At 51.9% G+C, this 27080-nt stretch overlaps 1 protein-coding gene across 3 annotated transcripts, besides 5 other annotated features; it reads left to right on the top strand.

The window, feature by feature from the left end:
• Positions 42 to 627: an enhancer, noted in NCBI's record as "H3K27ac-H3K4me1 hESC enhancer chr7:98467122-98467707 (GRCh37/hg19 assembly coordinates)". NCBI's record gives its function as "activates a minimal SCP1, AML or CMV promoter by ChIP-STARR-seq in naive and primed H9 embryonic stem cells {active_cell/tissue: H9 hESC(naive and primed)}" and the evidence as "EXISTENCE:reporter gene assay evidence [ECO:0000049][PMID:30033119]".
• Positions 112 to 23636, top strand: TMEM130 (transmembrane protein 130). 3 transcript variants are annotated; one of them, NM_152913.3, is made up of 8 exons: positions 112 to 349; positions 6726 to 7031; positions 9788 to 9947; positions 13943 to 14109; positions 14802 to 14886; positions 18503 to 18705; positions 21431 to 21543; positions 21918 to 23636. In NM_152913.3, exons 1-8 carry the CDS (start codon positions 265 to 267, stop codon positions 22068 to 22070), a joined length of 1272 nt encoding a protein of 423 aa, NP_690877.1. In that variant the 5' UTR covers positions 112 to 264; the 3' UTR covers positions 22071 to 23636. The 3 variants fall into 3 exon arrangements, with proteins under 3 accessions (NP_690877.1, NP_001127922.1, NP_001127923.1); NM_001134450.2 differs by having other exon boundaries at positions 21882 to 23636; NM_001134451.2 differs by lacking the exon at positions 6726 to 7031.
• Positions 628 to 1214: an enhancer, noted in NCBI's record as "H3K27ac-H3K4me1 hESC enhancer chr7:98466535-98467121 (GRCh37/hg19 assembly coordinates)". NCBI's record gives its function as "activates a minimal SCP1, AML or CMV promoter by ChIP-STARR-seq in primed H9 embryonic stem cells {active_cell/tissue: H9 hESC(primed)}" and the evidence as "EXISTENCE:reporter gene assay evidence [ECO:0000049][PMID:30033119]".
• Positions 16327 to 17048: an enhancer, noted in NCBI's record as "H3K27ac-H3K4me1 hESC enhancer chr7:98450701-98451422 (GRCh37/hg19 assembly coordinates)". NCBI's record gives its function as "activates a minimal SCP1, AML or CMV promoter by ChIP-STARR-seq in primed H9 embryonic stem cells {active_cell/tissue: H9 hESC(primed)}" and the evidence as "EXISTENCE:reporter gene assay evidence [ECO:0000049][PMID:30033119]".
• Positions 18645 to 19146: an enhancer, noted in NCBI's record as "H3K4me1 hESC enhancer chr7:98448603-98449104 (GRCh37/hg19 assembly coordinates)". NCBI's record gives its function as "activates a minimal SCP1, AML or CMV promoter by ChIP-STARR-seq in naive H9 embryonic stem cells {active_cell/tissue: H9 hESC(naive)}" and the evidence as "EXISTENCE:reporter gene assay evidence [ECO:0000049][PMID:30033119]".
• Positions 21411 to 22610: an enhancer, noted in NCBI's record as "BRD4-independent group 4 enhancer chr7:98445139-98446338 (GRCh37/hg19 assembly coordinates)". NCBI's record gives its function as "activates an origin of replication core promoter dependent on BRD2, P300/CBP, MED14 and CDK7 cofactors, and independent of BRD4, by STARR-seq in HCT116 cells {active_cell/tissue: HCT116}" and the evidence as "EXISTENCE:reporter gene assay evidence [ECO:0000049][PMID:35650434]".
• Positions 23637 to 27080: the final 3444 nt, after the last annotated feature.

Below are 27080 nucleotides of genomic sequence, written 5' to 3'. Positions count from 1 at the left end.
GAGGGACGCGGGAGCAAGGGGCGGCGGGAGGAGGAGGAGGGCGCGCGGCGCGGCTGACGTGGGCCGGGGTCGCGCAGCGGGCTGTGGGCGGCGGCGGCGGCGCGCAGCGACAGAGCGTCCCCCGGCGAGGACGAGCGAGCACGGCGCCCGCACCTCCCCGCACCGCCCGCGCTGCGCGCCCGGAGGAGCGACCGCCGCAGTTCTCGAGCTCCAGCTGCATTCCCTCCGCGTCCGCCCCACGCTTCTCCCGCTCCGGGCCCCGCAATGGCCCAGGCAGTGTGGTCGCGCCTCGGCCGCATCCTCTGGCTTGCCTGCCTCCTGCCCTGGGCCCCGGCAGGGGTGGCCGCAGGTAAGGCGCTGGGCAATCCGGCCTCCCTGCAGCCGCAGCCCGCCCGGGGCCTGGAACCGTCTCAGCGGGCGAGTGGGCCCGGGAGCAGGGATTGCGGAGGTGGCACCGTGCGCCCTGCGCGCATCTCCCTCCTCGGCTGAGGCCACTGCAGCGCCCTTTCCCCTCTCCTTTCATCCTTGTTCCCCAAAGTCGCCTGGGCACTGGAGGGGGCTCCCCGCACCCCCTGGATTCCTGCTTCCACCCCCCCAGGCTGGCCCTGCCCTGGAAACCGCGCGGGGGTGGCCGGCGCATCCGTCGATGCCTGGGGACCATGCACCCGCTAAGGGAGGGGAGGACGAGGCAGGGAGGCGGGGATGCGCCAGGGTCCGTCATCGCGCCACAATTCCCCAGTCCCCCAGGGAGCACGGGATGGGCAACGTTTTTGCCTTAAAATGTCGCCTCATCTAGAGGGGTTTCCCACCGTGTTGGTGCTGGCTTTGGGGAGATGCGAATTTAGAGCCCAGGAGGCCAGGCTGCCATTTCCTCTCTGGTGGTGATTTCCAAAATGGACCCGGAGCTGACAGGTTCCTGGGGTGTGTGTGTGGGTGGGGGAGTGGGGGAAGCAGGGTTGTGTGTCTACTGCCCCCACTTCCCCACCGCCAGAAAGCCAGCACCCACCTCTCTGCCACATTTTGGGAACCATAAAAGGACCCAGATTTAAGACTATTCGAGGGACAGATGGGACGTGGGCAGCTAAGAAGGTTGAATACTATCCACCACTTTTCACCCCCTCCCCCCTCATAAAAGAGCGGTGGAGAGAGAGAGCAAGGGATCTAATGAAAATTTGTGAAAGAAAAACCATGAGGTCAAAGAAAACCTGCAACTCAGGGATGAATTAGACGAATTTTATGGGAATTGCACTTGGACAAGATTACCTATTTCCTCCTGGAAATACAGGAAAGGGGTCTCTTGTCCATCAGGTTGATTTGTGTCAGAGATTTTCAATGTGTCCTAAATTGCAAAAGAAAAAGAAAATAATAACAAAAGTGAATTAATTATTTGGAAATCATGTGTGGTTCCCATTCTAGCCAATTGCACCCTTGATGTGGTCAAAATCACAGTGGCTAAGAGTGGAGTTGGGAAACATCTTCTCCCTCACCCGTCGGGGAGACTTTTCTACCCTTCCCCTTTCTGGAGTCCATGAATCAGGGATTTGTAAGTCAGAAGTCCATGTACTGGACTATTAATTAATTCTGGGTTGTGTTATCCAGACTTTAGAGGTACTCTTTGGAAGTGTTTTGGGTAGTCTGCATATTCTGTGTGAAAGGACTGGTGTAGCCATTTTCTAGAATGTTCAGGGCTGCACATGCTGTGTTGCTGGAAAAGGTAGGTGTTTCTTCCATGGGCCAAGCTTTGGGGTGAGTGCCCCATCTCTTTTTGCTTTTGCCCCTTGAGCTCTGGGTGACTTGGGGGGCCCTTGGAGTCCCCTAAACCTCTGCCTTGGCTGCTCCATACCCCAACTCCATGTCACATGGACTCCCAAACATGGAAAGATGAATTTGTTTGTTTGAGATGCAGTCTTGCTCTGTCACCCAGGCTGGAGTGCAGTGGCACAATCTTGGCTCACTGCAACCTCCACCTTCTGGGTTCAAGAAATTCTCCTGCCTCAGCCTCCCAAGTAGCTGGGATTACAGGCGCCTGCCACCACACCTGGCTAATTTTTGTATTTTTAGTAGAGATAGGGCTTCGCCATGTTGGCCAGGCTGGTCTCGAACCTCTGGCCTCAGGTGATCCACCTGTCTCAGCCTCCCAAAGTGCTGGGATTACAGGTGTGAGCCACCACGCCGGCCTGGAAAGATGAATTTGGTGGGTAGAGCACCAGGCCCTGTGATTGGTTCCTTCAGCCACATTTGGCAAAGGCTTCCTGGTCCATTTCCACCCTGGATGTCCTGGCCATCCCTGAGACCCCTGAGGAACAGGGGCAGCATCACCCAGGGGCTGTGACACACCTGATTTTGAAAAAACAGACTGAGAAAAAGTGTCCTTGGAGCTGGCAGGTGGTGGTGGGGGAGTCGGCGGGCTCCCATGAGCTGGGCCAGTGTCTGCAGCAATGTCTGCAGCAGACACAGCCCCTCCCTGCCCCCCATCCCCCCTCCCAGTCCCAGCTGGCTGCCCTCCTGATCCATTCCCCTGGCAACCGATCTGCGTGATAACATGCGTCTGTCTCACTGCAGATGCTGTTTGGCCATTAGCATGCAGCCGAATGTCCCTGCTACCTGCCAGCCTCGCTCAGGCCCACGCTTCTCAGCTGGGGTGGCAGGGAGGGGATGGGGAGGAGAGGGGTGCCAGGAGTTAGGGGGATAAGGGAGGAGGTGGTCTCTCATCCATGCACCTCTCTGTCCACAGCCTGGCCAAATGCTGCCTCCCAGCCAAAGTGGGGAGGGAGAGCAAAGCCCAACCAGGGTAGTACAGACTGGTTGGGTGGCCTCAGGCAGCAGCAGTGACCCATGCGGGCTTCAGGTCCCTCAATATCATATACCCACTCTGTTTGCGTGGAAAAGCTCCCATCACAGCTTCTGGATTTCCCTCTTTGGGGTTAAGACACTGCAGGTCCCCTTTTCAATGCCAGCATTCCCTTGGAAGTGACCAGCTCTCGGCATCTTGACTCAAATGACTTGATTTTTATTTATTTATTTTTGTAGAAAGGGTCTCTCACTTTGTTGCCCAGGCTGAAGGGCAGGGGCGCCATCATAGCTCACTGCAACTTCAAACCCCTGGGCTCAAGAGATCCTCCTGCCTCAGCCTTCCAAGTAGCTGGGGCAACAGGTGCACGCTACCATGCCTGGCTAATTTTTAAATTTTTTTTTTTGTAGAGAATGGGTGTCGCTGTGTTGTTCAGGCTGATCTAAAACTCCTGGGCTCAAGTGACCCTCTGGCTTCAAAGCGCTGTGATTACAGGTGTGAGCTGACTGGGCCCGGCCTCAAATGCCTTTATAATTTAAGAAATGGCTCTGAAAAAAAAGGAAATACGTGATGTGGGCCAAAGCAGCGAACGTGTGAGGTGGGCCTGAGGAAAGGTCGGAGCTGGAGTCCCCCACAGGGACAGGTGATGTTGCTTTGAAGTGAATGAGATGCGTCTGAAAAAAATAATCTCAGAGTTGCCTGGGCACTAGAAGGGGCTTCCCTTGCCCCCTCGATTCCTGCTTCTACTCCCCGGGCTGGCCCTGCCCTGGAAACCACACGAGGGTGGCCCACGCATCCGTCAGATGTCTGGGGACCATGTACCTGCTAAGGGAGGGGAGGACGAGGCAGGGACATGGGGATGTATCAGGGTCAGTCATCGTGCCACAACCCCCAGCCCCCAGGGAACACGGGATGGGCAGCATTTTTACTTTAAAATGTTGCCTCATCTAGAGGGGTTTTCCACCCTGTTGGTGCTGGCTTTGGGGAGATATGATTTTATTTGATTTATGTATTTATTTATTTGAGATGGAATTTCGCTCTTTTTGCCCAGGCTGGAGTGCAGTGGCGCAATCTCGGCTCACGGCAACCACCATCTCCCAGGTTCAAGTAATTCTCCGGCCTCAGCCTCCCGAGTAGCTGAGATTACAGGCGTTCGCCACCACACCCGGCTAATTTTGTATTGTTAGTAGAGACGGGGTTTCGCCATGTTGGCCAGGCCGGTCTCAAACGCCTGACCTCAGGTGATCCACCCACCTCGGCCTCCCAAAGTGCTGGAATTACAGGCATGAGCCACCGTGCCTGACCGAGATGCAATTTTAGAGCCCAGGAGGCCAGGCTGCTATTTCTTCCAGGAGTGATTTCCCAAAATGGACCTGGAGCTGACAGGTTCCTGGGGGGACTTGTGGGGGGACCTTGTGCCCACTCGGTCGTGCATCTACTGTCCCCACATCCCCATCGCCAGAAGGCCAGCACCCACCTTTCTGCCACATTTTGGGAACCATAAAAGGACCCAGATTGGAGACTTGTTGAGGGACAGGTGGGACGTGGGCAGCTAACGGGGTTGAATATTATCCAACAGTTTTCATCCCCCTCCCCCCTCATAATAGAGTGGCAGAGAGAGGGTAAGGGATCTAATGAAAATTTGTGAAAGAAAAACAAGGTAAAATAGTTGAAATAGTTGAAAACCACAAGGTCAAATAGTTGGCCTTTCTTTTTTTAAATTTTTTTGAGACAGTTTCGCTCTTGTCGTCCAGGCTGGAGTGCAGTGGCGCAATCTTGGCTCACTGCAACCTCTGCCTTCCGGGTTCAAGCAATTCTCCTGCCTCAGTCTCCCGAGTAGCTGTGATTACAGGCGCATGCCACCACACCTGGTTAATTTTGTATTTTTAGTAGAAACGGGGGTTTCTCCATGTTGGTCAGGCTGATCTGGAACTCCTGACCTCAGGTGATCCGCCCGCCTCGGCCTCCCAAAGTGCTGGAATTACAGGTGTGAGCCACCACGCCTGGCCAGCCTTTCTTGTTGAAAGCCCAGCAGGTCTCCTGTGAGGTCCCTCCAGGGAGGGGCTTGTTCTGTATTTCTGGATCCTCCCAACACGGTAGGGATGGGGTCCATGGAAGGGACTCAGTCAGTGCCACCTGGGTGAACAGTCTCCTGGGGCAGGGCCAGGTGGGCTGGTCCCTCTGCTGCACCTGCTCTCCGGGTGCCCCTTGGCAACAGCAGTACCAAACACCTGCTATGTGCCAAGCGTTGTGCTGGTCACAGGGATGATGGAAATGACCCCTGCTCTAAACGAGTTTGAAGCATAGCAGGAAAGGCAAAGAAACTTTCATTTCCACATGGAGTTGTGACAACAGTGGACTCAGCTGTCGGGAAAGAGCTGAGGGGGTGAGAGGTACAGGGAAGTGTTTTTATTGTTTGTTTTCTTTTGTTTTTGAGACGGAGTCTCACTCTTGTTGCCCAGGCTGGAATGCAGTGGCTCGATGTCGGCTCATTGCAATCTCTGCCTCTTGGGTTCCAGCGATTCCCCTGCCTCAGCCTCCTGAGTAGCTGGGATTACAGTCATGCACCACCACACCCAGCTAATTTTTTGTATTTTTAGTGGAGACAGGGTTTCACCATGTTGGCCAGGCTGGTCTCGAACTCCTGACTTCAAGTAATCCGCTTACCTCGGCCTCCCAAAGTGCTGGGGTTACAGGCATGAGCCATGATGCCTGGCCAACAGCTGGATCCTTTAACCCTGACAGAGAGAGAGGAGTGAGGAGAGGAGGAATCCAGAGGCATGAGACCAGCACTGTCCAGTAGATCTTTGGACAATGTGGTTGAGGACGCTGGCTCATGCCTGTAATCCCAGCACTTTGGGAGGCTAAGGCAGGAGGAGTGGTTGAAGCCAGGAGTTCGAGACCAGGCTGGGCAACATAGTGAGATCCTGTCTCTACAAAAAAAAAAAAAAAAGAAAAAAATCAGCCAAGCGTGGTGACTTGGACCTACAAGTCACAGCTACTTGGCAGGCTGAGGTGGGAGGATCACTTGAGCCCAGGAGTTTGAGGCTGCAGTGAGCTATGATCATGCCACTACACCCCAGCCTGGATGACAGAGGGAGATCTTGTCTCAAAACAAAACCAAAAGAATTCTGGGGAATGGTAGAAATGTTCTCTGTGTGGCCTGTCCAGAAGAGTAGCCACTAACCAAGGCCCTGCCCGGCTGGCAGGAAAAACAAAATATAATTTGGGCAGCCTGGGCAACATAGACCCCCATCTCTACAAAAAATAAAAAATTAGCTGGGTGTGGTGGTGTGTGCCTATAGTTTCAGTTATTTGGGAGGCTGAGGCAGGAAGATCTCTTGATCCTAGAAGGTGGAGGCTGCAGCGAACTGTGATGATTGTACTCCAGTCTGGGTTACAGAGTGAGATCCAGAGAACGAAAGGGAGAGAGAGAGAGTGAGAGAGAGAGAGAGAGGAAGAAAGGAAGAAAGAAAGAAGGAAGAAGAAAGAAAAGGAAGGAAGGAAGGGAGAAAAAAAGAAAGAAGAGAAAGAAAGAAAAAAGAGAGGAGGGAGGGAGAGAGGAAGGAAGGAAGGAGAGAGAAAAGAAAAGAGAAAGGAAGGAAAGGAAAGAAAAAGAAAGGAAGGAAGAAAAGAAAGAGAAGCAGGGAAGGAGGAAGGAAGGAGGGAAGGAGGAAGGAGGGAAGGAAGAAGGAGGGAGGGAGGGAGGGAAGGAAGGAAGGGGAAATAAGACTGAAAAGACTGTGATTTGGAGTCAGTGGGACCCAGGTTTGATGTCGAATTGGCTGAGTGACCCTTGGGCAAGTCACTTGAGCTGCCTGAGCCTCAGTTTCTCCACCTGGGAAATAGAATAGTTGATGCCAGCCCAGAGGTGGCTGTGGGGCTCCTTGCCACACACCATTCTGAAACACAGTCTTTGTTTCTGGGCTCCTAGGCCTGTATGAACTCAATCTCACCACCGATAGCCCTGCCACCACGGGAGCGGTGGTGACCATCTCGGCCAGCCTGGTGGCCAAGGACAACGGCAGCCTGGCCCTGCCCGCTGACGCCCACCTCTACCGCTTCCACTGGATCCACACCCCGCTGGTGCTTACTGGCAAGATGGAGAAGGGTCTCAGCTCCACCATCCGTGTGGTCGGCCACGTGCCCGGGGAATTCCCGGTCTCTGTCTGGGTCACTGCCGCTGACTGCTGGATGTGCCAGCCTGTGGCCAGGGGCTTTGTGGTCCTCCCCATCACAGGTGAGGGTCGCTCCCATTTGCTAGTTTGCCTTCAAACCCTTGGTGCAGAGAAAAACATCAAGCTTCGCTAGGAATCAGATCAATGCAGATTAGGCCCGTAGGTTCTGGGGGATTAGGCCCGTAGGTTCCTTCCCCGGGTCAGTCGAGTTAGAAAGGATCTGAAAATGGCAGTGATTGCCCCCAGGAGGTATTGTGCTAAAAGGGACGCCTATTGCTGCTGAGGGTATACATTAATACAACCCTGTGGAGAGCGACTGGTCAATAGGTACTGTTGGTTAGAAATTATTGTAGTCTCAGCTGGGCGCGGTGGCTCACGCTTGTAATCCCAGCACTTCGGGAGGCCGAGGCAGGTGGATCGCCTGAGATCAGGAGTTTGAGAGCCATCTGGCCAGCATGACAAAACCCCGTCTCCACTAAAAATACAAAAATTAGTGGGGGCATGGTGGTGGGCACCTATAATCCCAGCTGTATAAGAGGCTGAAGCAGGAGAATCGCTTGAACCTGGGGGGCAGAGGTTGCAGTGAGCCGAGAACGTGCCACTGCACTCCAGCCTCGGGGACAGGGTGAGACTGCATCTCAAAAAAAAAAAAAAAAAAAAAAAAAAAAAGAAATTATTGTAGTCTTGGGGCCAGTCATTCACTGGTTCTTTCTCCCCTCTTTCTCCCCTTTCTTTTCTGTCTCTCTCTGTCCTTCTCTCTGTTCTATCTCTGTCTGTCTCTTTCTGTCTCTCTCTGTCCCTTCTCTCTCTGTTTTCCCTTTCTATCTTGCTCTTTCTGTTCTCTGTCTCTTTGTCTCTTTCTGTCTCTGTCTCTTTGTCTCTGTCTCTTTATCTCTGTCTCTATGTCTCTTTGTCTCTCTCTCTCTCTCTCATTCCAAGAGAAGATGCCCCTTTGCCCCTTTAGACTTTCCAGTCTAATAATGAATTTATCTTCAGGAAATAAACCTGCATTTGGGTCATGCCTTTTGCATTAAGGTGTTCATTGCAATAGTGTTTATAATAGCAAAAGAAGAGATAAACAAGCTAAGTGAGCAACCATGAGGAGATTGGCTAAATATAATAAAATCATTTATACCACTATTAACAGTGACCCTTACAATGAGTTTGTAAGGCCATGGGTAAATACACATGCATGTAAAATTACATATTAAAAAAGCAAAGCACAGAATTGTCTAACCCAATAATCTGTATTTAATGTATGTGTATATTAAACACTGAAGCAAATACTTTGTCATACTTCAAAATGGCAACAGTGGTTGAGGTGAATGTTAGTTAGCTTCTTTTCTTCTTATTTTATGTTTGAACATTTTCCAAATGAGCTCTATTGAGCATGCCTTTTTCTTTCCACTTTTACTAATTTTAATTAATTTATTATTACTATTTTTGAGTCAGAGTCTCCTTCTGTTGCCCAGGCTGGAGTGGTGCTGTGATCTTGGCTCACTGCAACCTCCACCTCCCAGTTCAAGCGATTCTCGTGCCTTCGCCTCCCAAGTAGCTGGGACTACAGGTGCTGGCCACCACACCCAGCTAATTTTTGTATTTTTAGTAGAGACAGGGTTTCGCTATGTTGGCCAGGCTGGTCTCAAACTCCTGGCCTCAAGTGATCTGCCCACCTCAGTCTCCCAAAGTGCTGGGATTACAGGTGTGAGCCACCGTGCCCCACCAATTTTTTTTCTTTTTAGAGAAGTAGACATAGGACAGTGGTCCCAACGTGTGAAGCTGTGATCAGTGGAACTGCTAATTTTTCTTTTTTCTTTTTGAGACGGAGTCTTGCTCTGTCACCCAGGCTGGAGTGCAGTGGCGCGATCTCGACTCACTGCAAGCTCTGCCTCCCGGATTCACACCATTCTCCCGCCTCAGCCTCCCAAGTAGCTGGGACTACAGGTGCCCGCTACCATGCCTGGCTAATTTTGTTTTTGTATTTTTAATAGAGACAGGGTTTCACTGTGTTAGTCAGGTTGGTCTTGATCTCCTGACCTCGTGATCTGCCCGTGTTGGCCTCCCAAAGTGTTGGGATTATAGGTGTGAGCCACCGTGCCTGGTCATTGGAACTGCTAATTTTTCTAGGGTCACCTGACATTCTGAAATATTTCTCAAAAGTTCCTTTCAAAGCTTATGCATTTCCTTCTTCTTTTTTTTTTTTTTTTTTTTTTTGAGACAGAGTCTTGCTCTGTCGCCCAGGCTGGAGTGCAGTGGCGCGATCTTGGCTCACTGCAACCTCCGCCTCCCAGGTTCAAGCGATTCTCCTCCCTCAGCCTCCCAAATAGCTGTGACTACAGGTGTGTGCCACCACACCTGGCTAATTTTTGTGTTTTTAGTAGTGACGGGGTTTCACCATCTTGGCCAGGCTGGTCTTGAACTCTTGACCTTGTGATCCACCAACCTCGGCCTCCCAAAGTGCTGGGATTACAGGTGTGAGCCACCGCACCCAGCCATGCATTTCCTTCTGACCTTGGGCATCTTTTGTGCCAGAAAGTTCAGGGTCCTTGTGAGAGGGGACAGGAGAGAAAACAGTGAATGTGACAGAGTCCTCCGGTGTTCAGCAGTGTTCATGCAGCAGGGGGAGGGTGCAGATGCCTCTGTGTTCAGGGGTCTTTGGGGAGTTGTAGGGGGGTGTCCCCTCTCCCTGCCTAGCTCTGACAGCCAGAAGGTCCGGGCAGGGAAGTGGTGGCTTTGACAGCTGCCCATGAAGTCTCTACCTGGTTTCCTGATCCCTGAATCTCCAAGACTCACCCTCCCGTGTCTCTCTCTCTCCCAGAGTTCCTCGTGGGGGACCTTGTTGTCACCCAGAACACTTCCCTACCCTGGCCCAGCTCCTATCTCACTAAGACCGTCCTGAAAGTCTCCTTCCTCCTCCACGACCCGAGCAACTTCCTCAAGACCGCCTTGTTTCTCTACAGCTGGGACTTCGGGGACGGGTAGGTCCTTACCCCTCTGCAGGCCCTACAGCTGTCACTGGTGCCCCACTGTCCCGCGCACTGTGCAGGGTACTCCGAATCTCTTCACCTTTAATTTTTTTTTTTTTTTTGAGATGCAGTCTTGTTCTGTCATCCAGGCTGGAGTGCAGTAGTACCATCTTGGCTCACTGCAACCTCTTCCTCCTGGGTTCAAGTGATTCTCCTGCCTCAGCCTCCCCAGTAACTGGAACTGCAGGCTTGCGCCACCACACCTGGCTAATTTTTGTATTTTTTTTATTTTTATTTTTTTTAGTAGAGATGGGGTTTCACCATGTTGGCCAGGCTAGTCTCAAACTCCTGGCCTCAAGTGATGTGCCTGTCTTGGCCTCCCAAAGTGCTAGGATTACAGGTGTGAGCCACCATGCCTGGCTAATTTTCATATTAAATTTAATTAATTAATTAATTAATTTATTTATTTATATTTTTTAGTAGAGACTGGGTTTCACCATGTTGGCCAGGCTGGTCTTGAACTCCTGACCTCAAGTGATCCTCCCACCTTGGCCTCCCAAAATACTGGGACTACAGGTGTGAACCACTGCACCCACCTGAAGCTCCTCTCCTTTCCCTGCTCACCCTGTCTCCTTTCAAACATCCTTCAAGCACCTCCTCTCTGCCACGACTGGGGGTCCCGGAGAACACTGGTGAATCAGCCACTAGCCCTGCCTTTGTGGTGTCTTCACCTAATAGAGGAGGCCATTGGTGCCCAAAACAGCCATTTAAGGAAGGTAAAGGTACATGAGATTTTTTCCCATTTGACCTCGAAGGGTACCCAGCCAACCCTTGGTGGATACGAGGTAGAACCCAGGTGCTCTGGCTTCGTTTCTCTTTATTGCTCCTTTTTAACTTTTTGTCTTTTTTCCCCTTTTTGGTGGAGGAGAACAGGGTCTTGCTATGTTGCCAAGGCTGGTCTTGAACTCCTGGGCTCAAGTGATCCTCCTGCCTCTGCCTCCCTAAGTGCTGGGGTTACAAGTGGGAGCCACCATGCTTGGCCCTACTCCCTTCCTCCCTCCCTCCCTCCCTCCCTTCCTTTCTTCCTTCTTTTTCTTCCTTTCCTTTCTTTCCTTTCCTTTTTCTTTTTTCTTTCTTCTTTCTCCCTTCCTTTCTTCCTTCCTTCCTTCCTTCCCCCTTCCTCTCCTCTCCCCTCCCTCCCTCTCTCCCTCCCTGTCTTCCTTCCTACCCTCCCCTCCCCTTCCCTCCCTCCCTTCCTCCTCCCAAAGTGTTGGGATTACAGGGGTGAGCCACTGTGCCCAGCAAAACTCAGAATGTGGATTTCCTAACTCTTGGTGACAAAAGCAACCTGTGGTCAGACACTCAGGCTAGAGTACAGTGGTGTGATTATAGATCACTGCCGCCTTGACCTCCCAGCCTCAAGCACTCATCCCACCTCTGCCTCCTGAGTGGCTGGGATTACAGGCATGCACCACTACACCCAGCTAATTTTAAAATATTTTTGTAGAGACAGGATCTTACTATGTTGCCCAGGCTGGTCTCGACCTCCTGGGCTCAAGAGATCCTCCCATCTCAGCTTCTCAAAGCATTGGGATTACAGGTGTGAACCACTGTGCTTGGCTTTCCTCACCCCCCGCCCTCCATTTTTAGAGACAAGGTCTTGCTCTGTCACCCAGGCTAGAGTGCAGTGGCACAAATCTGACTCACTGCAGCCTCAATCTCCTGTGTTCAAGGAATCCTCTTGCCTCGACCTCTCGAGTAGCTGGGACCACAGGCATGTACCACCACATCTGACTATTTTTTAAAATGTTTTGTAGAGATGGGGTCTCACTATGTTGGCCAGGCTGGTCTTGAGCTCCTGGCCTCAAGCCATCCTCCCGCCTCAGCCTCCCAAAGCACTGGGATGACAGGTGTGAGCCACCGTGCCTGGCCAGATCATCTCTTTAGATGCCAAAAAAGCGTTAGTATGAACAGAAACGAACATTCAATGTAATATCAATAAACTAGAAAAAGAAGTTGCTGGAACTAACAACTAACATTATACAGAAATGAACATTCAATGTAATATAAATAAACTAGAAAAAGAAGTTGCTGGAACTAACAACTAACATTATACTGAGTGGAGAACTTAGAATATGTTTTTGTTTTTGGCCGGGTGCAGTAGCTCACTTCTGTAATCCCAGCACTTTGGGAGGCTGAGGTGGATGGATCACTTGAGGTCAGGAGTTTGAGACCAGCCTGGCCAAAATGGCAAAACCCCGTCTGTACTAAAAATGCAAAACAAACAAACAAACAAAAATTAGCCAGGCATGGTGGTGTGCGCCTGTATTCCCAGCTACTTGGGAGGCTGAGGCAGGAGAATCGTTTGAACCGGGTAGGAGGAGGTTGCAGTGAGCTGAGATCATGCCACTGCACTTCAGCCTGGGTGACAGAATGAGACTCCCTCTCAAAAAAAAAAAAAAAAAAAGGATGTGTTTTTGTTTCTGTTTTTGAGACAGGGTCTCGCTCTGTTGCCCAGGCTGGAGTGCAGTGGCGTGATCACTGCTCACTGCAACCTCCGCCTCCTGGCCTCAAGTGATCCTCCCACCTCAGCCTCTTGAATAGCTGGAACCACAGGCCTGTAACATTACGACTGGCTAATTTTTGTATTTTTTGTAGAGACAGGGTTTTGCCAAATTGCCCAGGCTGGTCTCGAACTTCTGGGCTCAAGCAGTCCTCCCACCTTGGCTTCCCAAAGTGTTGGTATTACAGGGGTGAGCCATCGTGCCTGGCAAAACGTGGAATGTGGATTCTCTAACTCTTGGTGACAAAAGTGACCTGTGGTCAAATACCTCTGGGGAGTCGTTGCATTGAGATGTTGGGGGAACCTGGCTCTAGATGCAGGAATAAGACAAGGGTGCTCCTTATCAGGGTCCATCGATATTATCCTGAAAGTTCTAACTTACTTAGGAAAGTCAAGAAAATAAGTGCGGGCCTATGGTGGCTCACACCTGTCATTCCAGTGCTTTGAGAGGCCAAGAGGGTGGGGAAAGCTTGAGCCCAGGAATTCGAGACTAGGGTGGGTAACATAGTGATACCTCGTCTCTACAAAGAATACAAAAATTAGCCAGGGATGGTGGCACGTGCCTGTAGTCCCAGCTACTCGGGAGGCTGAGGTGGGAGGACTGCTTGAGCCTAAGAGTTCAGAGACTGCAGTGAGCTATGATTGCACCACAGCACTCCAGCCAGGGCAACAGAGCAGAACCTTATCTCTAAAAAGGAAAATAAAAAATAAAAAAAAAAGGGAGAGAGAGATAAAAAGTACAGTATAAATATTGGAAAGCAGACAATTTGCAGGAAAGACCATTTACTTGAAAAATCTGGATGGCAGCTTTGTCCAACAGAACCCTCGGCTTGGCTGGCACAGTGGCTCATGCCTATAATCCCAGCACTTTAGGAGGCTGAGGTCAGAGGATCACTTGAGCGCAGGAGTTCAAGACCAGCCTGGGCAACATAGTAAGACCTTGTCTCTACAAAAAATCATGTATTAGCCTGGCACAGTGGTACACGCCTGTGATCCCTGCTACTTGGGAGGCTGACACAGGTGGACTGCTCAAGCCCAGGAATTCAAGGCTGCAGTGAGCCATGATTGTGCCACTGGGTGACAGAGTGAGACCCTGTCTCAAAAAACAAAAACAACAAAAACAAAAAATTTTTGACAAAAAATTCTTCTGTCTTCACCACGTGGGGCTGTTGAGCCCTTGAACTTTGGCTAATGTGAGAAATTTGTAATTTTCCTGAATTTTAGGCCTTCTCTGGCCTCGGTTTGCTCATCTGGAAAATGGGCCAGCTGACCTGGAGCCCTGGCTGGCTCTAGGCTGTGATGACAGGTGTGCTCACTGGTAGCTGGGAGTATCACTGTACAGCCTCCCCTGACTCTGGCAAGTCCCATGAATCACTTCTGAGTTACAGGAAGGGGAAGCAACCGTCTGCTGTCTTCCTCCTCTCTCCTCCCTGTCTCCTAACAGGACCCAGATGGTGACTGAAGACTCCGTGGTCTATTATAACTATTCCATCATCGGGACCTTCACCGTGAAGCTCAAAGTGGTGGCGGAGTGGGAAGAGGTGGAGCCGGATGCCACGAGGGCTGTGAAGCAGAAGACCGGGGACTTCTCCGCCTCGCTGAAGCTGCAGGGTGGGTGTCCAGGCAGGCTGATGCAGTCTGGGCGTTCCAGAGTGGGGTCACCGTACGCACAGATCACAGTGGCTCTGGGCTGGACTCACGCCCTGTCTTCTGGAGCCCCACAGACCTCTGAGGAGCGTCTATCATTAACCCTGCTTCAGACAGAGCGCTGCAGGCCACGGATGGGATCATGTGGCTGTGCAGTGGCTGAGCGGCCCTTGTGCCCCGGGCTGCCTGCTCCCAGAGCCTGAGCCGGTGACCAGGTGTCTGCTGTGAATTGGCCAGTCCATGCCATTCCCTGTTCCCCGGCCCCATCGGCCTCCCACCGAGGCTCACCCTGGGGTGGGAGGGTCTCTATCTCTCCCTGGCTTTGGTGAGAGGGAGCCCTTGGGCAGCTGCAGAAGATGTCTTGGTTCTTGCTGACGGGATGGTGCTCTCCTGTGTGACACAGACGATGACTTGGCAATGGGCAGGACAATTGTGTGTTTGCCTGCCTTTCCTACTTTCCTCCCTCTGAGCAGGCTTCAGCACCTGCCACTGACAGGGGAGGGCAGGACCCAGAGGAACCCCGCACAGACCTGTGGCCTGCTCTTAGGAGAGGGACGGAGGGGAGGACAGGGTGGCAGTCGCACCACCCTGTGCCCTGGGAGCCTCGACAGCAATCCTTAGCCACCAGGTCTAACGGGGTTCTCTCTGCCTTACAGAAACCCTTCGAGGCATCCAAGTGTTGGGGCCCACCCTAATTCAGACCTTCCAAAAGATGACCGTGACCTTGAACTTCCTGGGGAGGTAAGTGAGCTCCAGAGCGCACTGGGGGTGCCCCGTGGGCTCTGCACATCCCCCTTCACGATGACCCCAAGTCTGTTCTGCTCTGTGACAGGCCTCAGGTCTGGGACCTCATGGAAGGGCAGTGCCACTTTGTCTTGAGGCTGGGCCATGGGGAGAGCATGGGCTCAGCTCCAGTATTTTATTTTATTATTTATTTATTTATTTGAGACGGAGTCTCGCTCTTTCGCCCAGGCTGGAGTGCAGTGGCGCAATCTTGGCTCACTGCGACCTCTGCCTCCCTGGTTCAAGCGATTATCCTGACTCAGCCTCCCGACTAGCTGGGATTACAGGTGCACTCCACGATGCCCGGCTAATTTTTGTATTTTTAGTAGAGATGGGGTTTCACCATGTTGCCCAGGCTGGTCTCCAACTCCTGACCTCAAGTGATCCATCCGCCTTGGCCTCCTAAAGTGCTGAGATTACAGGTGTGAGCCACTGCGTCTGGCCTTTATTTGCATTTTTTAGAGACAGAGTTTCACCCTGTCACCCAGGTTGGAGTGCAGTGGCACCATCACAGCTCAATGTAGCCTTGACCTCCTGGGCTTAAATGATTCTCCTGCCTCAGCCTCCTGGGTGGCTGGAACTACAGGTGGGCACCACCATGCCTGGCCAATTTTTAATTTTTGTAGAGATGGGTTCTCACTATGTTGCTCAAGCTAGTCTCAGTCTCCTGAGCTCAAGTGATCCTCCCAGCTTGGCCTCCCCAAGTGCTGGGATTACAGGCATGAGCCACCACACCTAGCCCTCAGCTCAATTCTTGAGGTCCCAGGGAGGGAGGACCTGCCTTTTGGGGCTGTATTCACCATGGGCATGGAGACAAAGGTTGGGAGGGATCCCTCCTGTTGAGAAGCCCTCTGTGTATGACGTGGCCTATTTTCCAGCCCCCAGATCTTTGCCCATGTGGTTCTTTCAGGGTTCTCTTCTCTCCCTTCACATGTCCAGATGTTTCTTATTCTTCTAAGCCCCTTGGAATGCCTGCCTTCAAAAGCCTTTTCTGAGGCCGGGTGCTGTGACTCATGCCTGTAATTCGAGCTACTCGGGAGGCTGAGGCAGGGGAATTGCTTGAACCTGGGAGATGGAGGTTGCAGTGAGCCGAGATCCCGCCATTGCACTCCAGCCTGGGCGACAGAGCAAGACTCTGTCCAAAAAAAAAAAAAACAAAAAAAAACCAAAAAACAAAAAAAGCAAATCTGTTCTGCCCTCCAGTCTGCACAGGGGAGCTTGCACCAGCAGGCAAAAGTTGCTTGAGCATCTGCTTTGGACAAGATGCTATTCTGGAAGCTTCTAGACCAGAGTAGACAAGATTTCCAAGGATTCTGTGTGCAGGGTGGGGCACCCCGCATGACACGGAAGCAGATCATTCCAGGGGATTCTCATCAGTCAGTCTAATCAAGGCAGCCTGACCCAGGCTCCTGGCAAGAACAGCATCAGGCTGAGTGTTTAGTAGGTGAGGAGACACAGATGCCGAGTGCATTCTGTCCATGAGGATGCCCCTCCCTGGGGCCACTGGGATGGATAGAGCCGCAGACATCAGTGGTCAGGGCCCAGGCGTTAAAGGACTCTTTCTTTTTTTCAGACAGAGACTCGCTTTGTTGCCCAGGCTTGAGTGCAGTGGTGCAATCTCAGCTCACTGCAACCTCCGCCTCCCGGGTTCAAGCGATTCTCCTGCCTCAGCCTCCCGAGTAGCTGGGATTACAGGTGCGTGCCACCACGCTGGGCTAATTTTTGTATTTTTTGTAAAGACAGGGTTTCATCATGTCGGCCAGGCTGGTTTCAAACTCCTGACCTCAAGTGATCCACCCACCTCGGCCTCCCAAAGTGCTGGTATTACAGGCGTGAGCCACCGTGCCCGACCCGCCCTTGAAGGACTCTTGTGCCCACACAGAGACACATGAGAGGGATGCTAGGCCAGACAGAGAGTGAGCAATGCAGGCCAGGGGAAGAGGAAGATGAACTGTGAATAATTTAGGGGTTGGAGGTAGTTTTCACGGGGCTTTGGAGGCAGGAGCTTAGCATGGGGAGAATGGGAAGCCCTGTGGGTTTAGCAGCCCTGATATTTGAGGTGGCATGAGTGCATGGCTTTTCCTGCGGACCTAGTGTTGTGTGGAATTGGAATGCTCATTTCACATTCCTTGGATGGACCTGCATTTTCCAGCTTCTGAGCCTATGCTTGTGGAATGTGGATAACTTGGAATGCCCTTATCCTTTCTCACCCATCAAACGTTCATTTATCCATTCAGATCTGCTCAAATGCCACCTCCTCCAGGAAGCCTTCTCTGGCTACCTCATTAAGAATGCTCTCATGGTCAGGGACGGTAGCTCATGTCTGCAATCCTAGCACTTTCAGAGGCTGAGGTGGGTGGATCACTTGAGGTCAGGAGTTAAAGATTAGCCTGGCCAACATGGTGAAACCCTGGTCTCTACCAAAAAATACAAAAATTAGCCAGGCACGGTGGTGCATGCCTGTAATCCCAGCTACTTGGGAGGCTGAGGTGGAAGACTCACTTGAACCCAGGAGGCAAAGGTTGCAGTGAGCGGAGATCGCACCACTGCACTCCAGCCTGGGTGACAGAGTGAGACTCTGTCAAAAAAACCCCACAAAAACAAAAACAAAACAAACAAACAAAAAACAACTCTCTCATGCTGGTTGCAGTGGCTCATGCCTGTAATCCCAGCACTTCAGGAGGCTGGGGCAGGAGAATACTTGAGGCTAGGAGTTGGAGACCACCCTGGGCAATATAGTCCCATCGCTATTAAAAAATTAAAAAATTGGCCAGGCGCAGTGGCTCACGCCTGTAATACCAGCACTTTGGGAGGCCGAGGCGGGCGGGTCACCTGAGGTCAGGAGTTTGAGACCAGCCTAGCCAACATGGCGAAACCCTGTCTTTACTAAAAATACAAAAATTAGCCAGGCATGGTTGTGTGTGCCTGTAGTCCCAGTTACTTGGGAGGCTGAGGCTCGAACCCGGGAGGTGAAGGTTGCAGTGAGTCAAGATCGCGCCATTGCACTCCAGCCTGGGCAACAGAGTGAGACACCATCTCTAAATAAATAATTAATAAAAAATTAAATTAAATTAAATTAAAAAATTAGTTGGGCATGGTGGCTGGTGCCTGTAGCCCCAGCTACTCGGGAGGCTGAGGCAGGAAGATCGCTTGAGCTCAGGAGCTGGAGGCTGCAGTGAGCTATGATTGAGCCACTGCACTTCAGCCTGGGTAATAGAGTGAGTCCCTGTCTCGTAAAATGCAAAACACAAAAAGGGGGATGTGCTTATTATTCCCCTGGGCTTCTATGGTACACCATGTGTGCCATCAGACCGCTCATCCTGCCTCCAGTGAGCAGTCTATGCGTATCTCTGTTGGCCTTATTCACTTGGAATTCTCTTGGGGGTCCGGGACCATCTCTTTTGCACCATAGTGTCCCCTGGTCTGGAATGCATGAAGCTGAGTCCAGGACGGCTTGATGTCCTGTCCTGGAAAGGACACTGAAGTTCCTGCCCACCTGGCCTGTCTTGGACTTGGTCTGTGCTGACATGCTTTGCTGAGCCTTTTCTTAAAAACCGCCCCCATTTCCCTGCAGCCCTCCTCTGACTGTGTGCTGGCGTCTCAAGCCTGAGTGCCTCCCGCTGGAGGAAGGGGAGTGCCACCCTGTGTCCGTGGCCAGCACAGCGTACAACCTGACCCACACCTTCAGGGACCCTGGGGACTACTGCTTCAGCATCCGGGCCGAGAATATCATCAGCAAGACACATCAGTACCACAAGATCCAGGTGTGGCCCTCCAGTAAGTGACACCTCGCCTTCTGCTCCAGTGCCACATGGGCAGCACAAGCCTGTCCATCCTGCCACCACCACCAATACGCTCCTACCAGCCAGCCTTACCAAGGTCCTCAGCAACAAAGCCCGCTAGCATCAGCACCATCCATAACCCCACTGACTCCAGTGACCGCCAACATCAGCGCTGGCCAACTGCCAATACCACCACCACCAAACTCTCCAATCCCACCAGCAACCAACTCTGTCAACCCCAATATGGCACCCATCGATTCTACCAGCACCACCATCAACACCAGCACCACTAACAACTGTAACCAACTCAGCTACCACCATTACCATATGCTTTCCTGACAACTCTTCCAGGACCACCATTGCCACCACTAACGACTCTATAAGCATTCTCACCAAGTCACCTCAATGACCCCGACCCTACCCACATCTATAAGCCCATGCCACCACCTGCCCCAATGCCAGCTTTGTGGACCGAAAGCAACCATGCCAATGTCTTCTCCCACATATTTCCAAGACCACACGTCCCCAGCACAAACACTTTTGCGCCAAATGAGCCACCATGATTGCAGTGTTCCCTCCCTCATCACCATCACCCCTGCCCCAGCAGTTGCCACTGCTAAAACCAGCATCCCCAACAGTAACTCTACTCAACTCACAGTGTTGTAGTGAGTCTTGCAGGGAGAAGGCATTGCATATTGTTAATAAGGATGCCTGGGCTAGGCATGGTGGCTCCCAGGACTCTGGGAGGCTGAGGCGGGTGGACTGATTGAACCCAGGAGTCTGAGACCAGCCTGGGCAACGTGGCAAAACTCTGTCTCTACAAAAGATATAAAAATAGGACAGATGCGGTGGCTCGTGCCTGTAATTGCAGCACTTTGAGAGGCCGAGGTGGGTGGATCACTTGAGGCCAAGAGTTTGAGACCAGCCTGGCCAACATGGCAAAACCTGTCTCTACTAAAAATACCAAAAAGTTAGCTGGGTGTGGTGGTGGGAGTCTGTAATCCCAGCTACGCAGGAGGTGGAGGCATGAGAATCCCTTGAACCTGGGAGGTGGAGGTTGCAGTGAGCTGAGATTGAGCTGCTGCACTCCAGCCTGGGCCACAGAGAGGCTCTTGTCTCAAAAAATTAAAAAAAAAAAAAAATATATATATATATATATATATATGAGAGAGACAGAGAGAGAGAGAGGGATTGAGAGAGAGAGAGAGTGGCGTGTGCCTGTAGGTCTCTGCTATGCTACTCGGGAAGCTGATGTGGTAGATCACTTGAGCCCAGGAGGTTGAGGCTGCAATGAGCCAAGATCACACCACAGCACTCCAGCCTGAGCGACAGAGTGAGACCCTGTCTCCAGAAAAATAAATAAAAAATAAAAAAGAGAAAAGGATGCCCAACCTTCTTTCTTGAAATACCTTTCCAAAACTATCATCGGCCCAGCCCCTGGCTTACGATTGTGGGCTTTGCTGATGACAGCATTGGGTTCTACACTTCATTTTTATGGAGGACTCTGGGAGCCCCAGAGAAGTACTTCCTTACATAGAGTAGGATCTCAGGTCCTGAAGGCACTGTCTTTCAGATGCCCAACCTACTTCTACCTTTGATGCTACAAAAGGGGAAACTAAGGCACAGGGAGGCAACAAGACTGGATGTCAGCCTGAGCCTGAGCCAGGGTTTCAGATTCCTGGTCCTGGGGTAGGAGTTAGTTCTTCCCAGTGCTCCCAAGCTCATGCCAAACCCTGCCAGCTGCACTTGTCTTCAAGGTTGGTCCTATGGATGCACCTGAAGCTGTCACTGTCCCCTCCAGTTTCCCCAATCCCACTCTGGGCCCCTGAGAGGATGCTACACTCAATCTTGGCCCTGGCTTACTTTGTGGGCATCATCAGGTCACTTGAGCCCTGCATCTCTCAGCACCCTCTGGGGACCAAGTTCCAATCAGGAACCCCCTGAATTCTGCAGAGAAGACAGCAGTACAGGTAATCAATGACAACTTTTCTTTGGAAACAGACCCTCATGGCAGAGGGTGAGGGAAAAGGGAGAGGGAACCCACACTTCCTGATCACCTACCACATGCCACACACATCAACACCCCTCTTCTTGTTGCATCTCCTTAGCAGTCTTGCAGGTCAGCATTAGCATGAGGTAGCCTATTCAGAGCTAGGATTTGAACCCAGGACTGTTCAACTTCAGACACTGGACTCTTTCTACCATACCATTTCATAGCAACAGGTTTATTGGGTGAGCCTGCAGTTGCCAGAGCGTGAGAAGCTGAAGCAGGGGACACAGTGCTGATTGGGTGACCTCACAACATGGCTGCCCTTCCCAAAAGTGTGTCACCCGAGAGAGCAAAGAGGGAGCTGTGGTGTCTCTTATGGCTTAGACTCAGGAGTCATGCACTGTCACTCCTTTCATCTGCTGTACACTAGGAGCTGGTCGCTGAGTCCAGCCCTCACTCAAGGTGTGAGGAATTTAGCTGCCCCTCTTGGAAGTTGCTACCAAGTAACTTGTGGATGTATGCTGAAAGCCCCCTACCCAGACCCCAGTTTATTTTTTGTGAAGTCCTGGATTTACCTATTGGGGTTGCCCAGTTGGGATGCATGTACATGAGGGTAAAAAAAATCACTGGTGGGGCTTGACCATTCCCTCCTTTGTTGTGCTTGCTTCCTGAGAACCAGCACTGTAGTACCAGCTACCCAGTCCTGTAATGTTACTTCTTTCATTCCCAGGAATCCAGCCGGCTGTCTTTGCTTTCCCATGTGCTACACTTATCACTGTGATGTTGGCCTTCATCATGTACATGACCCTGCGGAATGCCACTCAGCAAAAGGACATGGTGGAGGTGGGTACTCAGTGGGGTGGGGGCTGGACTACTGGGCCTTGCCTAGAGAGGATGTTTAGAGAGGGTATGGGGGCCAGGCCAGGATGCCTGGAGGGGGTCTTGATATTACAGCGAGGCTCCGGGACTTGGGGTGATGTGCCCAAGAGGCATCTGTAGACCAGGAAAAATTGCTAAGTTGGTGTCCCATCTGATTTATCTCCTATATCCATCTCTTGCATCTGTGTGGTGCCAGAAAGGTGTTTCTGTGCACTCTGCCACCAGGCAGCTGAGCTCATAAGGCCACCTGATGGGGCTCCTGGTGGGTGGGTGATTGACCCGTGGGATTTTGTTCATCATAGGTGGCTGATTTTGACTTTTCCCCCATGTCTGACAAGAACCCGGAGCCACCCTCTGGGGTCAGGTGCTGCTGCCAGATGTGCTGTGGGCCTTTCTTGCTGGAGACTCCATCTGAGTACCTGGAAATTGTTCGTGAGAACCACGGGCTGCTCCCGCCCCTCTATAAGTCTGTCAAAACTTACACCGTGTGAGCACTCCCCCTCCCCACCCCATCTCAGTGTTAACTGACTGCTGACTTGGAGTTTCCAGCAGGGTGGTGTGCACCACTGACCAGGAGGGGTTCATTTGCGTGGGGCTGTTGGCCTGGATCATCCATCCATCTGTACAGTTCAGCCACTGCCACAAGCCCCTCCCTCTCTGTCACCCCTGACCCCAGCCATTCACCCATCTGTACAGTCCAGCCACTGACATAAGCCCCACTCGGTTACCACCCCCTTGACCCCCTACCTTTGAAGAGGCTTCGTGCAGGACTTTGATGCTTGGGGTGTTCCGTGTTGACTCCCAGGTGGGCCTGGCTGCCCACTGCCCATTCCTCTCATATTGGCACATCTGCTGTCCATTGGGGGTTCTCAGTTTCCTCCCCCAGACAGCCCTACCTGTGCCAGAGAGCTAGAAAGAAGGTCATAAAGGGTTAAAAATCCATAACTAAAGGTTGTACACATAGATGGGCACACTCACAGAGAGAAGTGTGCATGTACACACACCACACACACACACACACACACACACACACACACACACAGAAATATAAACACATGCGTCACATGGGCATTTCAGATGATCAGCTCTGTATCTGGTTAAGTCGGTTGCTGGGATGCACCCTGCACTAGAGCTGAAAGGAAATTTGACCTCCAAGCAGCCCTGACAGGTTCTGGGCCCGGGCCCTCCCTTTGTGCTTTGTCTCTGCAGTTCTTGCGCCCTTTATAAGGCCATCCTAGTCCCTGCTGGCTGGCAGGGGGCTGGATGGGGGGCAGGACTAATACTGAGTGATTGCAGAGTGCTTTATAAATATCACCTTATTTTATCGAAACCCATCTGTGAAACTTTCACTGAGGAAAAGGCCTTGCAGCGGTAGAAGAGGTTGAGTCAAGGCCGGGCGCGGTGGCTCACGCCTGTAATCCCAGCACTTTGGGAGGCCGAGGCGGGTGGATCACGAGATCAGGAGATCGAGACCACCCTGGCTAACACGGTGAAACCCCGTCTCTACTAAAAAAATACAAAAAGTTAGCCGGGCGTGGTGGTGGGTGCCTGTAGTCCCAGCTACTCGGGAGGCTGAGGCAGGAGAATGGTGCGAACCCGGGAGGCGGAGCTTGCAGTGAGCCCAGATGGCGCCACTGCACTCCAGCCTGAGTGACAGAGCGAGACTCTGTCTCCAAAAAAAAAAAAAGAAGAGGTTGAGTCAGCAGGGACTTGGGTTCCCTGTGTGTGAGGGGGGCATTCTTGCCTGCCAGCTGCTCCCGAGGTGGCCTTGAGAAGGAAGAAGCAGGATGACAGAGCCTGAGCAGCGGAACCAGCCTGCACCCTCCCTTCTGGCCCAGCGACCTGGGCTGTGGCTGAGACAATAATGAGGCCAGAAGTAGCCGGAGCCTGTCAGGAAGGGCAGGGGAGGACTGTGGGGTCTGGGCTCTGTCGCTGTAACCATCTGCTCCCAGGCTGTGTGCAGAAAATGGCATTTACACTATTGTGCAGCTCATTCTCATGAAATACTGCCATTGTTGCTAAATAAAGCTTGTGTGCTCTGAATATAGCCAAGCATAGACGGTGTGGCCAGAGTCTCTCTTTTGTGCATGGACGTTTTTGCCTTGCAGACAGCAACGGCAGTGCTGTGACGCAGCAGGACATCCCACTTGTCCTCTGTGGTGAAGACAACTGAAGGGAGCCAGTTCAGGTCCCTGGAGGTGGGGAGAGCTGTCCCCAGGTGACTTGGACATGCATCCCTGTCTGAGACCTCAGGGGGATTCTAGAGCCAGAGGAGGAACGTGGACCACACCTGGGGACGTGTTGGAAATGCAGACCCTTGGGCTCGACCTGATACCTGAAGCAGTGCCTGGGTAGGGGGGCAGCCACCTGTTTTCACAAGCCCTCTGCGATTCTGGTGCATATCAGGTATGAGAACCACTAGTCTCTAGCAGGCTTCTTAAACTTTGAGGTTCATGAGAATTGCTAGAGATCTTGGTAAACAAGAATTTTCATTTTGGAGGTCTGGAGTGGGGCCTGGGATTCTGCGTTTCTTTTATTTCTTTTTATTAATTTATTTTGAGATGGAGTCTCACTCTGTCGCCAGGCTGGAGTGCGGTGGCGTGATCTCGGCTCACTGCAACCTCTGACTCCCTAGTTCAAGCAATTCTCCTGCCTCAGCCTCTCAAGTAGCGGGGATTACAAGCACGTGCCACCATGCCCGGCTAATTTTTGTATGTTTAGTAGAGATGGGGTTTCACCATCTTTGGCCAGGATGGTCTTGATCTCCTGACCTTGTGATCTGCCCTCCTCGGCCTCCCAAAGTGCTGGGATTACAGGTGTGAGCCACCACACCTGGCCTTATTTATTTTTATTTACTTATTATTTCTTTTAGACAGAGTCTCTCTGTCATCCAGGCTGGAGTGCAGTGGCACGATCATAGCTCACTGCAGCCTCGACCTCCTGGGCTCAAGTGATTCTCCCACCTCAGCCTCCTGAGTAGCTGGGACTATAGGTGCATGCCACCATCCATGGCTAATTTTCTGCTTATTTTTTGTAGAGATGAGGCTCCACTATCTTGCCCAGGCTGGTCTCAAACTCCTGAGCTCAAGTTATCCTCCTGCCTTGGCCTCCCAAAATGTTGGGGTTACAGGCGTGAGCCACCGCACCCAGCCCTGAGTTTTTTGTTTTGTTTTGTTGAGACAGAGTCTTGCTCCAAGGCTGGAGTGCAGTGGCACGATCTCGGCTGTCTACAATCTCTGCCTCCCGGGTTCAAGCGATTCTCCTGCCTCAGCCTCCTGAGTAGTTGAGACTACAGACACCCACCACCCCACCCGGCTAATTTTTGTATTTTTAGTAGAGATGGGGTTTCACCATGTTGGCAAGGCTGGTCTTGAACTCCTGACCTCGCATGATCCACCCGCCTCGGCCTCCCAAAGTGCTGGGATTACAGGTGTGAACCACCGCGCCTGGTCCCGTTGCTGTTGTTTTAAGCCACCTAGTTCGTGGTACTTTGTTTCGGCAGCCCCAGGAAACAGACTTCCCCACGTCATTTTCGGCAGCTCCGTCTCTCACATTTCATATCCATCCTGTGAGAAATCCTTCAACTGAGATCCAGAATCTGACCGCTGCTCCCTCCTCCCCTGCTGCCACCACCCTGGTCCCTGGCAGGGCTCTCATAATGCCTGGCAGCTCCTGCTCACCCCTCACTGAGCCAGAAGTTTGTCCACAAAACTGCTCCAAGACCACATCTTCCTCTGCCCCAAACCCTTCAGTGTCTCCCTTCTCAGAGCAAACCCCAAATCCTTCTGGTGGCCTCCCAAATCCCTGTCCAACCTGGCCTGTGACCTTGTCACCCCCAGCCCCTGCTGCTTGTCTGGCTGGGTCTTTCCCGAGTTGTTCCCTTTGCCGGGCAGGATGCTGTTTCCTGGACACGTGTGGGGTTCCCTCTCTGCTCCTTCACGGCTGTTCAAACATCACCTTCATCTGTGAGGTCAACTTGGCACTCTCCTCTCCTACCTGCCCTTATACTCATGGCATATGTCACCTTCTAACATACTATTTATTTATTTATTTATTTTTTTGAGATGGAGTCTTGCTCTGTCGCCCAGGCTGGAGTGCAGTGGTGCGATCTTGGCTCACTGCAACCTCTGCCTCTCAGAGTCAAGTGATTCTCCTGCCTCAGCCTCCCAAGTGGCTGGAATTACAGGCACCCACCACCAGGCCTGGCTAATTTTTTTGTAATTTTAGTAGAGACAGGGTTTTGCCATGTTGGCCAGGCTGGTCTCAAGTGATCTGCCCGCCTCGGCCTCCTAAAGTGCTGGGATTACAGGCATGAGCCACCACGCTTTGCCTAACATACTATTAATTTATTTATTTTAAAATTTATTTGTACTTTTTTTTTTATAGAGACAGGGTCTTACTCTGTCACCCAGGCTGGAGTGCAGTGGTGTAATCATAGCTCACTGCAGCCCCAGCCTCCCTGGCTCAAGCAATCCTCCCATCTCAGCCTCCCAAGTAGCTGAGACCGCAGGAGCCCACCCCCATGCCCAGCTAATTTTCAAAAATTTTTCGTAGAGATGGGGTCTTGCTATGTTGCTGAGGCTAGTCTGGAACCCTTGGTCTCCAGGGATCCTCCTACCTCGGCCTCCCAAAGTGCTGGGATTACAGGCATGACCCACTGCAGCTGGCCTTAACTTATTTATTTAATCTGAGCCTTACATGGTATATAAACTTGAAGAAAGAAAGGATTTTGCCTATTTTGTTCACTATTTCTACTTCTAACACCCAGAATACTACCCAGCACATAGCAGGTGTTCATTAAATATTGTTGAAAGGAAAGAGGGATGGCGTGAGGAAGGGAGAAAGGGTTACTTCCTCACACTTGTGTTGTAACCTCACAATGACTGGAATTAGGGGAGGGAACACAAGACTCTAAGGAACAAACTCAATGTCTGTCCAGACTGTCCAGAAGACCCCATAGGTCAGGACAAATGGCCCGGAAGCCCTGGTGTGAGACGTGGTGATGTCCAGGTGTCAGGAGGCAGGGGCCTCCCTCCCTGAATCCTGGAGAGAGGGACTGCGGTGTGGGCCCCTTCTGGCATGGCGGCCTCTTGGACATCAGATCGGGCAATTATCCATCCTTGGAGCAGAAAGCCACTGGCCTGGCTTCTGAGAGTGGTGCCTTGTTCTGTGTTGAGGAGGAAAGGTCAGAGGCTGGAGGCTGGGAGAGCAGGTGGGCTGTAGACAGTGTGGCAGGGGCTGAGGGAGCAAGCTAAGCTGGGTCCCATGTGGTAGTGGGCCAACGGGCCGAGGAGGCTCCAGGGTCATCAGGCAGGGAATGGGTCAGAGTCTCTTAAACTGAGCTACCCTAATCCCCAAGGGATCCATGGAGAGCATTGAGGTACTTGGATGGGAAAAATTACATCTTTATTTATGTATTTGTTTAGAGACAGGGTCTTGCTCTGTCCCCCAGGCTGGAGTGCAGTAGTGTGATCACAGCTCACTGCAGCCTCGAACTCCTG

This window comes from Homo sapiens, chromosome 7 (assembly GCF_000001405.40).
Source record: "Homo sapiens chromosome 7, GRCh38.p14 Primary Assembly".
Lineage (NCBI taxonomy): Eukaryota > Metazoa > Chordata > Mammalia > Primates > Hominidae > Homo > Homo sapiens.
Note: the sequence above shows the minus strand (reverse complement) of the source record. Positions and strands in the feature narration are given on the sequence as shown.